This window comes from Homo sapiens, chromosome 3 (assembly GCF_000001405.40).
Source record: "Homo sapiens chromosome 3, GRCh38.p14 Primary Assembly".
Classification (NCBI taxonomy): domain Eukaryota; kingdom Metazoa; phylum Chordata; class Mammalia; order Primates; family Hominidae; genus Homo; species Homo sapiens.
This window is the reverse complement of record NC_000003.12, coordinates 41,600,514-41,614,902: the sequence shown is the minus strand read 5'-3', so window position 1 is coordinate 41,614,902 and position 14,389 is coordinate 41,600,514. Positions and strand designations below refer to the sequence as shown.

At 36.3% G+C, this 14,389-nt stretch overlaps 1 protein-coding gene across 6 annotated transcripts in view; it reads left to right on the top strand.

Annotated features, from left to right (window-relative positions):
• Positions 1 to 14,389, top strand: part of ULK4 (unc-51 like kinase 4) — a 715,505-nt gene that overhangs the window by 347,201 nt on the left and 353,915 nt on the right. The window lies entirely within an intron of this gene.

Here is a 14,389-nt window from a genome sequence, read left to right as displayed (position 1 = left end):
ACTTCCCCAGCCAGATCAGCCTAACTTACCTTGGTCATCAGTAGGGGAGCATTAGTTGTGATAGTCTGATAACCCTACACATGGGAAATCAACTTTCCTTAATCATCTTAAAATATTATTCTATAAATCGTTTGTGTGCTGTCATGTCCATATGGTGAAAACTTTATTTTTCTTAGCTGCAGATTTTCAGGAGAGCTGAGTGGATTTGCTGAGTTATTTGCATTGCATGGGGAGTAGAGATGGGAATGGGTACTATTCCCAAAGCATGTTCAGGTGACAAGATGACAGCTGCCTTGATGAGTGGAACATGTAAGGTTAGAGCCTGGACTGAGTTGCTTAGAATTGTAAGAAGGGATTTTAGAGAAAGGATAGAGAAGAGGCAGATGAAGAAATGATCAAGAGCTCTCTAACGGAGATGTTAAAGTTTCACCAGTGATATGGATATGTGTATCTTTCCATCTTCAGTCAGATACACATTATTTGCCAATTTGTTATGGAGTTGAATTTGTTTTGGAGGACAGTGGTCTAGCAAACTGTTGAGTTTGGCCACATGGTTGGGTATGGGGCAAGAGCCAAAGCTGTCCAAACTCAGCTACATTTGAATGCATTTGGAAAGAGACTCATTTTATAGACATCCTAGAGCTAGAATGGGCCTTAGTGGGTCTACATGATTCATCCTTTTGCTGTGGCAAGGAGGGCTTCTAACCCGTTAGATGAATATAACTCCTTTTGTGGCTGACAGAAAGTTCTTACCTTATCTTCGGCAATCATCTCAAGGTCTAAAATCTCAACATAAAAAATTCCTTTTGGTAGGTTACCAGAACACCTTCATACTTGATTAATCTCTGTATACTGAGCACCCAACAAGTGTTTTGTATTTTACAAACCATTTTTAAATAATTGATTAATGCCACAATTTGAACCCTTGTCATTGTGGTATAGCTGTCATAGGGAATGGGTAGAAGGTGACATCTACCCTCCAGATCACCATTTTAGCCAGTCCTGAGCCCTATGGCCTTGCAGGCATGTCAGGGATGGTGCTCTTTTTCTAACCAGAACAGTTCCATGCTCAGATTTCTTATAGGACATTATCTGAAAAAGAGATCTTGCTGCTAAAAAGTAAAGAAGAAAAGTGTTGGAAATCACTGCTTTATGAGGCAGGAGTTTGATGTCCTTGAAGAACATTATTAAATTCCTATTCTACTTTTGTCTTTTTTGAGTTGAATAATCTCAACTTTTTTCTGTGTAGAAATACATTTTTCAATCGATGAAATATCTTTGTAGCAGTTATCCTGTGAACTATTACTTATCCTTTTAAAATTGTTGTCACCAAGCTAGATATAATACAGTGTTTTCTTGATTCTATGATGCACATTTTTTTTTTTTCAGATTTTAACATTTCTGAAACTGAGATATACTTTCCAAATCAATGGTGTTTTACCATTGCTTTCAGCCAGTTGACCTGGTTGTCATTGCCTTAACCAATTTATTTCAGTTTTATTTTTCTTTTTACAAATGCCTAAAAGTGATATATTATAAAAATCTATGTCTGAATAAGTCTAAAAGAGCTCTTTCAATAAAAAGAAGATAAAAATTCTAAGTAATAAGAAACCGTGTCATAGTTTAATTGGCAGCATTTTTCTTTCTTAGTGCTTGATAAAATAATGGTGCATCTTAGAGCTGATAGATTTCAGGTTTCAAGGAAGCAGTATATATTTCAATTTGGTTTGGTTTCTAAGTTTGAGGGCCTTGGTGGTGTCTAGCATATATATGGCAGCTTCTTTGCAGTGATTTGATCAGAACAAGGCATAATGAGAAGATTGTGTGGGGCCCTGCATGCTCGGCTGCTACTTATGCCTTCTGGCTACCCATTAAGAAAATAGCGAAACATCATTTGATTCATTTAGCTGGTAGTCTACTGTGACCTCCTGATGACTTTTTTCTTTACTTTTAGCCCATCCCTGTTTTCCAGCTTCTGTCTGATGTACTTAAAACCTGCTTATGAGCTTTGTAACTTCCTTCTTCCTTTCTAGAGTTTCTTCTATGATGTGCTCCTCTCCTAGATGTCTTCCATTAAGAAAGTGAGCCTGTCTTTTCTGATGGGCAGGAATTGCAGGCAGCTTCTCTGTTTTTTTCCTGTAGTTATGCAGGCAAATGAAGTGGAGGGACTACAATTCTGAATTTGAGATCTTATCTATATAAAATAGTGAAGTGGAAATCTTAGGAAGAACAGACATTTCTGGAGTTGTATGGCAAACCACGAGCCCCAAGTATGGATTCAAACTGGTTAAATAAAAAACCAATTGAAATTAATTTGTATTATTTTGGAGAAAAAATAAAAATTATCTCCAGTTGTCACTACCTACTGAGGAGGCACAGTGCTACTTCCTGTCTGGAGGACTAATGGGTAGGCCCTCTAAGTTCACGTTGCAGGGAGAGAGTGATGTGTACACACATGATCAGGTAGGAGCATTATAGGAGCTGTTACGAAGGTAGGTCTGGAAAGCTGTGGACCCCGGGGAAGGGAGTGACCAACTCTGGGAAAAGTGGGAGAATCTCACAGAAGGAGTAACCTTTGAACAGGGCTTTGGGGGAAGAGGAGGAGGTATTTTGAGGGAAGGAGGAGGGAGTTCAGCTTGGGGAAGGGGAAGGCTAGGTCAGTGTACTCAATGCTAAGTATACTTGGCTCTAGTATCCTCGTGGGATTGATTCTAGAAACCACCCTCATACTAAAATCTACAGATCCTCAAGTCCTTTGCACATCCTTCTGTATACTTTAAATCATCTCTGGATTTCCTATAATACCTAATGCAATGTAAATGCTGTGGAAATAGTTGTTACACTGTATTTTAAAATGTGTGTTACTTTTTCTTGTATTGTTATTTTTATTTTTTTTTCTGAATATTTTTGATCTTTGGTTGGTCAGATGCACAGATGTGGAACCCATGGATAGGCAGGGCTGACTGTCCTTAGATGTGCCCAAGTACAGGGAGCCTGGACCATGGAGAAATGGTAGGAAATGAGGGTAAAGGGTAGTTTGGGATGAAATCCTATAGGGCTTTATACTGTGGTTATTTCTTATTTGTTTGGCTTTGCAAATAATTTATGCTCTTTAAAATCAGACAGTATCCTCTACTTGAAACAAAAAAAGTCTAGAACGCCTGTGCTTTAGGAGGCATGTGCAATGAGGAGGCAGGCTGATTGGCTACAGGTTTGGGACTCAGCAAGAGTCAGGCTTGGGTCATGGGCATGTACTGGAAACTTGAGTGTCCATGCTCCTTCAGTCACTAGAAGATTGAAAGGGTGGAAACTCGATTCTGGGAGTTTCTGCAAGTTTTCACCAATGAGGTTTTTGAGATCAGTCAAAGGGACTGTGGGGCTGGCAACATAAGATACAGAACACGTCTCAGATGTTCGATCCGATGTCCCAGGAGTTCTAACATCACATTCAGGGCAGAGAGTGGGCAGAATGTTTTTAATCCTGAGCTCTAGCTTCAAGTTTCCTGGTGTTTGGCAGGCCAAACAGTGGAGAAAGCCAGGCAGCTGATGGCTTACAAAAAATTGCTGTTGTGGGAGCTGGGTGCTGTTCCCCAAGCAGAGCCCCCTGGGTGAGACCTCTGCATTTTCATTGGCAGCACAAGGCAGCTGTGATGGACAGGGAGTGGAGCTCAGGCAGCATACGCTGGATTAAGCTGAATGCATTTGTATTATAGTACGTACAGTCTTCACGGTGTACCGCACTAAGGCAGTCTGCGCTTGTTTAATAAATGCGGGTTCCTGAAAAATGTGAGCCATCAGAAGAGTCCATTGTCTTGGCTTTTGAGTGCAGAATTGCTGGATGCACAGGATGGAGGACTTATTTTTTCTCTCTACTTTTTCAAAAGAGTATAAGTTGCTTTGAAATGTGCCTTAAGTGTGAATTTGGATGTATCAGCCTTTGGAGTTTGCTATAACTCTAATCTTTCTTCATTTTATTTCCGTGGTTTATGTTTTGGCCTACTTCAGTAAATCATTTTAATGCCAAGTAATATAGGTAACCTCTGTTTTATTGGAAAAAAATATTCATGGCAGATTTTCCAATATGTGCCAAAATATTGCTGTCATGATATTTTATGTGTCTATTCCAAAATAAACAATTAAAGAGCAATTTCAGTGGCAAATGTTAACAATAAAAATTGGATTAGCAATACACTAGTTTGACAATTATATTGTTTTAACAGTTCTCAAGGATAGCAGTTGAAGCAAGCTTCAGTAAATCTTTCAAGTCAACTGTATTTTTAGAAAAGAGTCTCTTTATGGACCCTTGAGGCCTAAAGTATTTAATCACTGAGACACCAATGTCATATAGACAGACAGTCACATTACATTTAAGGAATGTTTTCAATCCTATGCATCCATCAGGCTTATAAAATTTGCTCCACTCTACTTGTAACTCAACAAATATGTATTGGTTCTTAGAGTACGTTAAAAAGAGAAGTTCCTTATTTTAAGAATCTACATGCTTATGTTAAATATACCATGAACAAAATTTTGCTATGCACATGGGTGAAAATTTCTATAATAAAATATAAAATAAGATTTAAAAAATGTATATATTGGCTGGGCAAAGTGTAATTCCAGCACTTTGGGAGGCTGAGGCAGGTGGGTCACTTGAGGTCAAGAGTTCAAGACCAGTCTGGCCGACAGGCAAAACCCCATCTCTACAAAAAATAAAAAGAAATTAGCCAGGCGTGGTGGTGTGTGCCTGTAATCCCAACTACTGGGGAGGCTGAGGCAGACAATTGCTTGAACCCAGGGGGCAGAGGTTGCAGTGAGCTGAGATCACGCCACTGCATTCCAGCCTGGGTGACAGAGCAAGACTCTGTTTCCAAAAAAAAAAAAATAAAATTATTTGAATTGTATTGTCTTTACTTTTTTTTTTTTCTTTTTGAGATGAGGTCTCACTCTGTCACCCAGGCTGGAATGCAGTGGCACGATGATAGCTTATTGCAGCCTCAAACTCCTGGGCTCAAGTGATCCTCCTGCCTCAGCTTCCCAAGTAGCTGTGTCTGCAGGGGTGTGCCACTGTGCCTGGCTAATTTTTTCGTAGTGTTTGTAGTGATGGGGTCTTGCTATGTTCACCAGGCTGGTCTAAAATTCCTGACCTCAAGCTGACTTCCCACCTTGGCCTTCCAAAGTGTTGGGATTACAGATGTAAGCCACTGCACCTGGACAGAGAACAAGATATGATTAAAATTTCAAAATGCTTGACTTAGGAAGATACTTTTAAATTTATACAGTTAACACCTGTTGAATGCAGGCGATAAATCTACATCTATACCCATTCAGGGCTTTTACCGATTGAAGAATGGAGCCATATAACAATTTTTTGTTGTATACAAAGATGACTTTATACGCTGCTAACATATACCACCATTAAAGTACATGTGAGGTGTTTCTTTTGGGAATGAAAATGGATTTGTATAAATCCCTTCTTGGTGGCTTCTGTCATAAATACATGTTTGCAAAATAACTTTCTTGGGCTCGGGTACAATCTATTGATACTGGATTGAATGAAGTGAAGTTGCTCATGTGACAACTGAACAATAACTTTATTCTGATCAGCTCCACGTTACCTGAATAAATGGGCTGAACTAAGTATAATAAACATATTAGTAAATGTGGGTTAAATAAAGCATAACTAATTTCTGCATAATCAGCCAAATAAAGAGAAATTTTATTGAGTTAAAAACCATATATTGTACCCAATGAAAAAAAAAGCTAAAATAGAGCTTAGTATATCTGTGGCCAGGTACAGGTTACATATTAAGAATGTGTTACATGTAACTTCTCCCAAGCCAGTAGCATCTTGAGTTTTATCATCATTCTTGTTACTAGTTCTGCTCTATGTTCTGCTCACTTTGAGGAAATAGTACATACACATTCTTCCTTCTCTCTAAAGGACAGTCTAGTTAAAAAACACAGGAGAGAAGTAGCTAAGTGATAAGATGTTGAACAGTGTACTTCCCAAGATTAGAAGCTTTTATAGTTTTTGTTTTTACTTCTAATTGATTCAGGAACTGGAAAATGAAATAGTAGGAAGGGCCAGTGTTCTTCAGTGTGATGAATTCACAAAAGGCAGTGGATGTGGCTCCCCTGAATTCTGGCCATGGCAAGTGATACCACTGAACTTCTTCCCTAACTCTGGATAACCTAACTGTCAGTTACATTGGCCAACTTTGGTTTCAGGCTTGTGTTGAAAAATAAAAGGCTTACTGTGATCAGGCATTGCTCCATCACACTACTCCCAAAACATTTGTATTTGGAGTTCTTTGATAGATGGAACAAAGTAAAATGACTGATTGTAAATGCAAAGAATTACTGGAAAAGCCTACTGTGAAATCAGTGATTACTCATTCTCAATATGAAACCAATGAATGTTACTTTTTCTCGAAATTACTCAGTAACACAGGACCCTATAAAGTTTATTCATGAACAGAAACAACTGAGATTACCCACTTTTTGAGAAAGTAGAAATGTCAGCAAAGAGTTACTAGTTTTGATTAAATAAAGCAGCAAACATTTATTAGCATTTGCTTTTGATGCTCTTTGCATTTGTTTTTTTGGATGAGCAAGAAAAAGAAGAATTTATGTGCTTACCCAGAGCTGCAAAGGATTTTCAGACTGAGCCAGGAAATCTGATGTACTAAATCAGTTTACAGATTTATGGGAAAAATAGAGCTTGTAAAATAGTTCTACCGGGTGAAATTGCATTTTGGATTTATTAGAGATACCAAATTGGAAAAAAGACTGATACAAAGTCAATAGGGGCAAGTTATTACATAGAAATTTTAGGTTTATCTTTGTTTTGTAGCAAAAACAATACACACTTGTAAAGGGTTTAAACAACACAGAAATGTCTAACATAGCATGTGGTGGTCTCTCATAATTTCATGACTTATAGCTAGCGGATGTTCTCCTCATTATTTTTCATGCATGTGTTGTATGTCTTTTGTCAAAAATGGGACCGTATTGAATATTAGTTTGTATCTGTCTTTATAATGTCCATAGCAGCAGTGGTAGAGTGTGCATGTTCCTAAGTGTGCATGCAGGCATGCCTATGCCCATGTGTATGCCCATGGGTATTTTTTATTCTATTTAATGACCATGTAATATTTATTGTATTTAGTAGAATTTGTTTAGCCAGTCTCCACTGATGGATGCTCAAATTTCTCCCCAACTTTATAATATGTGGAAAAAATGAACAGGATATCTTTGTCATACCTTTGTCTACCTATGTGAGTTTCTATAGGATAAATTCTTGCAAGTTGAATTGTTACACTGAAGTATATATGTCCTTTATATTTTAATGTTACACTTCAAAGGGTGATACCTTTATAGCAGTGGTATACAGTAACACCTGCTTTGCCACACCCTTAGCACAATTGAATATTGTCAGTCCTTTAAATTGTCAATTGTTTGTATTTTGACTTGTTTACTTTTCATTATGAGAGTCAAATTTATCATTGTTTTTGCTCAAAGCTTATGTGTTTCCTAGCATGCTTAGGAAGGACTTCTCCTTCAAAAGGTTATAAAATATTCTTTTATACATTTGTGGCTTCATAATTAAGTTGCAAATCTTTGCTCCAAAATAATTTTGTTGTAAGGAATGAATACAAATACACCTTATCCCTTCCCCTACATCTCCTTTTCACTATCATCAAGCTAATGTTGCAACAGTGTTTATTGATTTAATCCATCACTATGGTGGCTTGAGACCCCTCTCTCTCACCATATCCAAAAATTAACTCAAAATGGATTAAAGACTTAAATGTAAGACCTCAAAATGTAAAACTACCAGAAGAAAACCTAAGAGAAATGCTTCAGGACATTGATCTAGGCAAAGATTTTATGAGTACAACTACAAAAGCAAAAGTAGACAAATGGGACTATATGTATCAAATTAAAAAAGCTTCTGCACAGCAAAAGAAACAATAAACAGGACGAAGAGACAACCTGTAAAATGGGAGAAAATATTTGCAAACTATTCATCCAACAAGGGACTAATGTCCAGAATGTACGAGGAACTCAATTTAACAGCAAGAAAACAAATAATCCAGTTAAAAAATGGGCAAAGGCTCTGAATAGACATTTCTCAAAAGAAGATATACAGATGGCCAAGTTTATGAAAAGTGCTCCACATCACTAATCACTGGGGAAATGCAAATCAAAATCGTGATGAGAATCTTACTTCTATTAGAATGGCTATTATCAAAATGACAAAAAATAACAAGTGCTGACAAGGATACAGAGAAAAGGGAATTCTTATACACTGTTAATGGGGGTACAAATTAGTACAGCCATTATAGAAAATGGTATGAAGATTTCTTTAAGAACTAAAAATAGAACTACTATATGATCCAGGAATCCCACTTCTGGGATTTATCCAAAGGAAAAGAAATCAGTATATTGAAGGGATACCTGCATTCCTTTGTTTATTGCAACCCCGTTCACAATAACCAAGATATGCAGTCAACCTAAATAGATAAATGGATAAAGCAAATGTGGCATGTATATGCAGTGGATTACTATTCAGCTATAAAAAGAATGAAATCTTGTCATTTGCCTTTGGTTTTATTGCTTTCTTTTTTTTAATTTTCGATTTCATTAATTTTAACTCTTCGTTTTGTCCTTTTGTTTCCTTTGGGTTTCATTTTTTGCTCTTATTCTGACTTTTCCTTTTAATGTAGAAGCTTAGTTGATTGGCTTGAGACTTCTCTGTTTTTTCAAATATAAACATTTAGTGCTAAAATGTCCCCCTAAGCACTGCCTTAGTTTCGTCTCACAAATTTTGATGTGTTGTCTCTTCAGTTTCACTTAGTTCAACATAATTTCAAATTTTCCTTGTGATTTTATCTTTGGTTCATGGATTATTTAGAAGTGTTACTTAGTTTCCCAGTATTTGGGGGACTGTCAGATATATTTTTTATTGATTTTAATTACACTGTAGTTAGAGAACATAGTTTGCATTATTTGCATCTTATACAATTTCTTCAGACTTGTTTTATGGTTGAGTATATGGTCTATTTTCATAAATATTCCTTTTATATATGTAAAGAATGTGTATTTTGCTGCCGTTGGAATGTTCTATGAATGTCAATTAGATAAATAGGTTGTCATTGTTGTTCAAGTCATCTTTATCTTTACCTGGTTTTCTGTCTACTTTTCTGTCACTCATTGAGAGAGGGGTGACAGGGTCTACAGACTCTCGTATTGTAAGTGTGGTTTTGACTATTTCCCCTTTTGGATCAGTTTTGTTTTCTGTTTTGAAGCTCTGTTATTCCATGTAAAAATTAAATTTAGGATTTTATGTCATCTTGATGAATCGACCTCTTTATCATTATGAGATGACCCTTTTTATCCCTGGGTAGTACTCCTTGTCCTGAAATTTATTTTATGTGATATTAATATCACCACTGCAGCTTTTTTTGGTTAGTGTGAGACATATTCTTTTCCATTCCTTAACTCTTAACCTATTTATGCCTTTATATTCAAAATTGTTTTCTTGAAGATAGATGTAGTTGGGCCTTGCCTTTTTTTCAATCTAATAATATTAGTCTTTTAAAGGGGTTTAGAACATTATTATTTAATACAATTTTTGATATTATTATATTTAAATCTTACTACTAGTTTTCTATTGTACCTTCTGTTGTTTTTCTTTATGTCTTTTTCTGCTTTCTTTTGGCTCAGTTAAGTATTTTTTTTAATGGTTGGTATAGTTTATGATATATGTGCACCTTTAATGTATCAAGTCTACTTAGTGTCATATAAGTAATTATGTTGATGTAATAGTCACCTCCAAATAGACTACTGGACAAAGTAGCTGAGAGATCATTGAACATAAAGGATCACAGATCAAATTTTAACAGCTCACATCACATGATTTATTAAATCAATTAAGTATGCACAGTGAGAAGCAAGTGAGCACATTTTATGTATGGTGCAAACAGGGTGAAGTACATGTTGGATACATCCTGGGGAATAATGTGTTTATATTTATCCCCTCTCTGCTGCATCAGCCTTCTTCAGAGCTGAAATTTGAGAAAGAAAGTCCACGGGTAGAAGGTATCCTGGGTCCAAAACACATATTTACTGTATAAGACAGGCACAGAAACATGTAGAGTTGGCCCTGGCTGTAGCTTGACAGTGAACTTGCTGAACATCCATGAATTTTATTGGTGTTTCTTAGGCAAAGAACACACAGGGCCTGAATAGATGTCATCAATAAGCATCTTCATTAAAACTTCATATATGCTGCCTGTTAGGTGCTTCCTGTATGTTTGGTGTATTATGAATATGTAGGGCCCAGATATTTCATGTATGTTTAATGACTCATGAATGTTATGTATCTTTTGGTCCTTTCATTCATTTCTAATTCTGTTTAACACACATGTGCTCTATATGTGTCACATAAGCTTCCTACATTCTGTTTTTTCATCTATATCAGAACTACATATTCTCAAATAATACAGGAATGTACTTTATACCACTTCATGTCTTACATAAGAAACTCACATCAGTATACTTTTATTTTTAGTGACTTCCAATTACATGTATCATAAAGTCCCACTCTTGCAACACCCTCCATGATCTGGCCATGGTTGCCTCTCTCGCCTCGTGTCATCTCTCTCTTTCCCTTCCTGATTATGCTTTTACCACATTGACCTCTTAGTTTACTAAATAGGCTATGCAGAGGCCTACTTTTTTCCTACCTGAGGACCTTTGCTTTTACTATTACCTCTCCTCAGCATGTTTTTCTCCTGTCTCTTTACATAGCTGTTTCTGAACCTTCCATTTTCATAGAGGCCTTTCTTCTCTATTTCATCTAAAGTAGTCCCATGGGAATAAATGGCTGTTGCTGTCTCTTTAGCCTCATCTATCATCTGGCACACAGTAGTCTTAGGTGGCCACTCAATATGCATCTATTGAATAGTTATGGTATAGGGAAGTATTATTTTTAATGTAGTGCTGGATTTAACAGGCACATATTAAAGGATTTTAAAAATATATTTGTAAATGAAATTGGTCTGTAGTTGTATTATCTGTTAACGCTTTCTTAAATTTTTTATTTTGAAATACTTATACTTTCACAAGAAGTTGCAGAGATAGGACAGAGAAGTCCCCTGTACTTCACCCAGCCTCTTCCAGTGGTTATATTTTATAAACTATAGTACAATATCTATACCAGAAAATCTGCACTGGTACAATGTGTATGCATATCTCAATTTGTATGATTTGTTTTATCTTTATGTTCTATGGATGCCTGAAAAAAAAAGTGTATTCTATTTCAGGCATCTATGTTTATGGATGCCTGAAAAAAAATGTGTATTCTATTATTCATTGGGGTATAGTATAAAAGTTGGTTAGATCCTGTTGCTTGATGATGCTGTTGAGTTCTTCTGTATCTTTGCCGATTTTCTTTCAGGTTATCCTGTCAACTGAGGAGAGAGGAGTGTTGGAGTCTTCAACTATAATTGTGGAGTTATTTGTTTCTCCTGTCTTGTCTCTCTCCCAGTTTGTACTTCAGTGTTTTACACCTTTGTTGCTTGTTTCATACATATTTAGAATTGTTATGTCTTCTTGGTGAATGGAATCAAAATGATAATTTTATTATTTTATCATTATGTAGTGTTTCTTTATGTTCCTGTTAATTTCCTCCCTCTGAAGTTTATTTTTTCTGATATCAGTATAGCCAGACCTGCTTTCTTTTAATTAATGTTTGCATGGTATCTCCTGTTGCATGTTCACTCTACCTTTATTATATTTTAAGTGAGTTTCTTGTATACAACATGTAGTTGGGTCATTTATTTTCTTAATCTATTCCACAAACCTGTCTTTTCAGTGTATATTTAGACCTTTTATATTTAATCTGATTTTTAATGTTTTACATATTAAGCCTGCCATTTTATTTTATTTTGTTTTTCTCTTTTGCATTTTGTTTCCTGTTTTCCTTTAGATTACATGAACGTTTTTTAGAATTTCATTTTTATTTGTCTGTAGCGTTTTTGAGGATTTCTCTTTGTTTAGATTTGTTAGTGGTTACTGTCCTCTCTGTATCATATTAGAAATATGTAAGTTACAGTCTACTAGTTTCATCATTTTACCAGTTTAAATAAAGTATAGAAATCTTACCTGCCTTCACAGAAATTTCTTTTAAAAATTCAGCTCTGAAACTATATGATTATGGCTCATTTTTAGGAGATTATAGTCCTTGGACTGCTATTAAAAATTTTTATATAACTTTATTTTAGTATAGTTCTAGATTTACAGAAAGGTTGCAGAGGTAGTACAGTGAGTTCCTGTGTGCTCTTACCTAGTTTCTCCATTGTTAAGTTCTTACATAGCTGTGGTATATTTGCCATGAATAAGGATTCAATACTTTATTCAGTTTTCTCTAGTTTTCTGTCTTTCTTCCTCTTTCTCTTTTCTCTTTTTTCTTTCTCCTTCCTTTCCCCTTCCCTTCCCCCTTCCAATTCTCCTTCCCTTCCTTTTTCCCTTCCTCCTTTCCTTTCCTTTCCCTTCCTCCTTTCCTTTCCCTTCCTCCTTTCCTTTCCTTTCCTTTCCTTTCCTTTCCTTTCCTTTCCTTTCCTTTCCTTTCCTTTCCTTTCCTTTTTCTCTTCCTTCCCTTTCCTTTCCTTTCTTCTCTTCCTTCCCTTCCCTTTCTTTCTTACAGACAGAGTCTTGCTCTGTTATCCAGGCTTTAGGTGCAGCATGATCATAACTCACTGTAATCCCAAATTCCTGAGCTCAAGTGATCCTATTACCTCAGCCTCTTTAGTGGCTGGGATTATAGGCACACACCACCATGCCTGGCTAATTTTATTTTACTTTTTGTAGAGACAGGGTCTCACTATGTTGCCCAGCCTGGTATTGAACTCCTGGCCTCAAGAGATCCTCCTGCCTTGGCCTCCCAAAGTGCTAGGATTGTAGATATAAGCCACCATGTCCAGCCCAGATTTCACTAATTTTCTATAGTATTTTGTTTTGTATTCCAAGACCCATCCAGAACACCACATTATACTTAGTCATCATATTGCCTTAATCTCTTCTGATATGTGGTAGTTCCTCAGACTTTCCTTCTTTTGGATGACCTTAGTGGGTTTGAGTTGCACTGGTGTTATGAAGAATGTCTCTTAATTCAAGTGTGTTCTTTTTTATTATTTTTTTGTCATGATAAGATAAGCATTATGGGTTTGGGGGAGGAAAACCACAGAGACGAGGTATCATTCTTACCACATCATATCAAGGATATATACAGTTAGCATGGCCTGTCATTGTTAACCTTGATTCTGTGGCTGAGGTTTTTCAGATTTCTCTACTGTAAAATTAGTCCCCTGTTTCCCTCTCACCCTCCAACCCACAATTTTTCTACTTTACTCTTTGAAAGCAAGTTTCTAAGTACTTCTGACACTCAAAGAATAGGAAATGAAGCTCTATCTCCTTGGGGGCAAAGTACCTACATAAATTATTTCGAATTTTTCCATAAAGGAGATGTGTCTTCCCTCTCCCATTTATTCTCTGACAGTTTTTAAAATTTCTTCCCTATTGTCGTGTCTTAAAGTGATTTTTCTTATTTTGGAAATTTGTGTTTTTTTCTAGAATACTATCACTTTGTTATGTATTAGAGTAGGATTATATAAAAATATTTTTAATGTCGTTATTTACCCTGTCTTCTTCCTAATTTGATAATTTGTGACTTCACCCACTTTGTTTATGTTAAGATAGCTTGGTGTTTTATTTAACTTAATGGATTTTTTCTCCTAAAGAACTAGCTCTTGAATATTTATCAGTTCTACTGATTTTACTCTATTATATTGTTTTATAAAACATCTTATTCGTTTTTTAAATAAGGGTCTTGTTCTTTTCCTGATCTCTTGATTCAAGTGCTTATCCCTTTATCAATTTTTCTTGTGTAAAATAGGCATCTGTTTTTGTCTTCTCAACTAGAGCTACCTCTGTTTCCTTGGGAGTGTGCTAGGGAGAGAAGCAAGTGGGAAGTGTTAATGGAAGTTTTCTGTGTGACTTGTGGCAATCATTGCTAAATTCAGTCAGCTGGTTCATTGCCAGTTCTGGGGTTAGAGAAAAGAATGAGCACAGGACTTGGCTTTGGTGAGCTCACGGTTTACTGTGGAGGCAGATGTAAATCCACAGTTATAATCCAGTATAGTGTAAGTTATTGGAGAGACACGGTGGTGCCACCTCTCTGATGTGGAGTGATTAGAACCCCCATTCAGGAGAGAGGGGACACTCTGTTGAGCATGAAGTGTTGCAATTTGCAGAATGGACAGTGTTGTTCACAAGCTGCAGTGCATACTTGCCATGTTGCTTTCCCCCAAGTATGTATGCATCT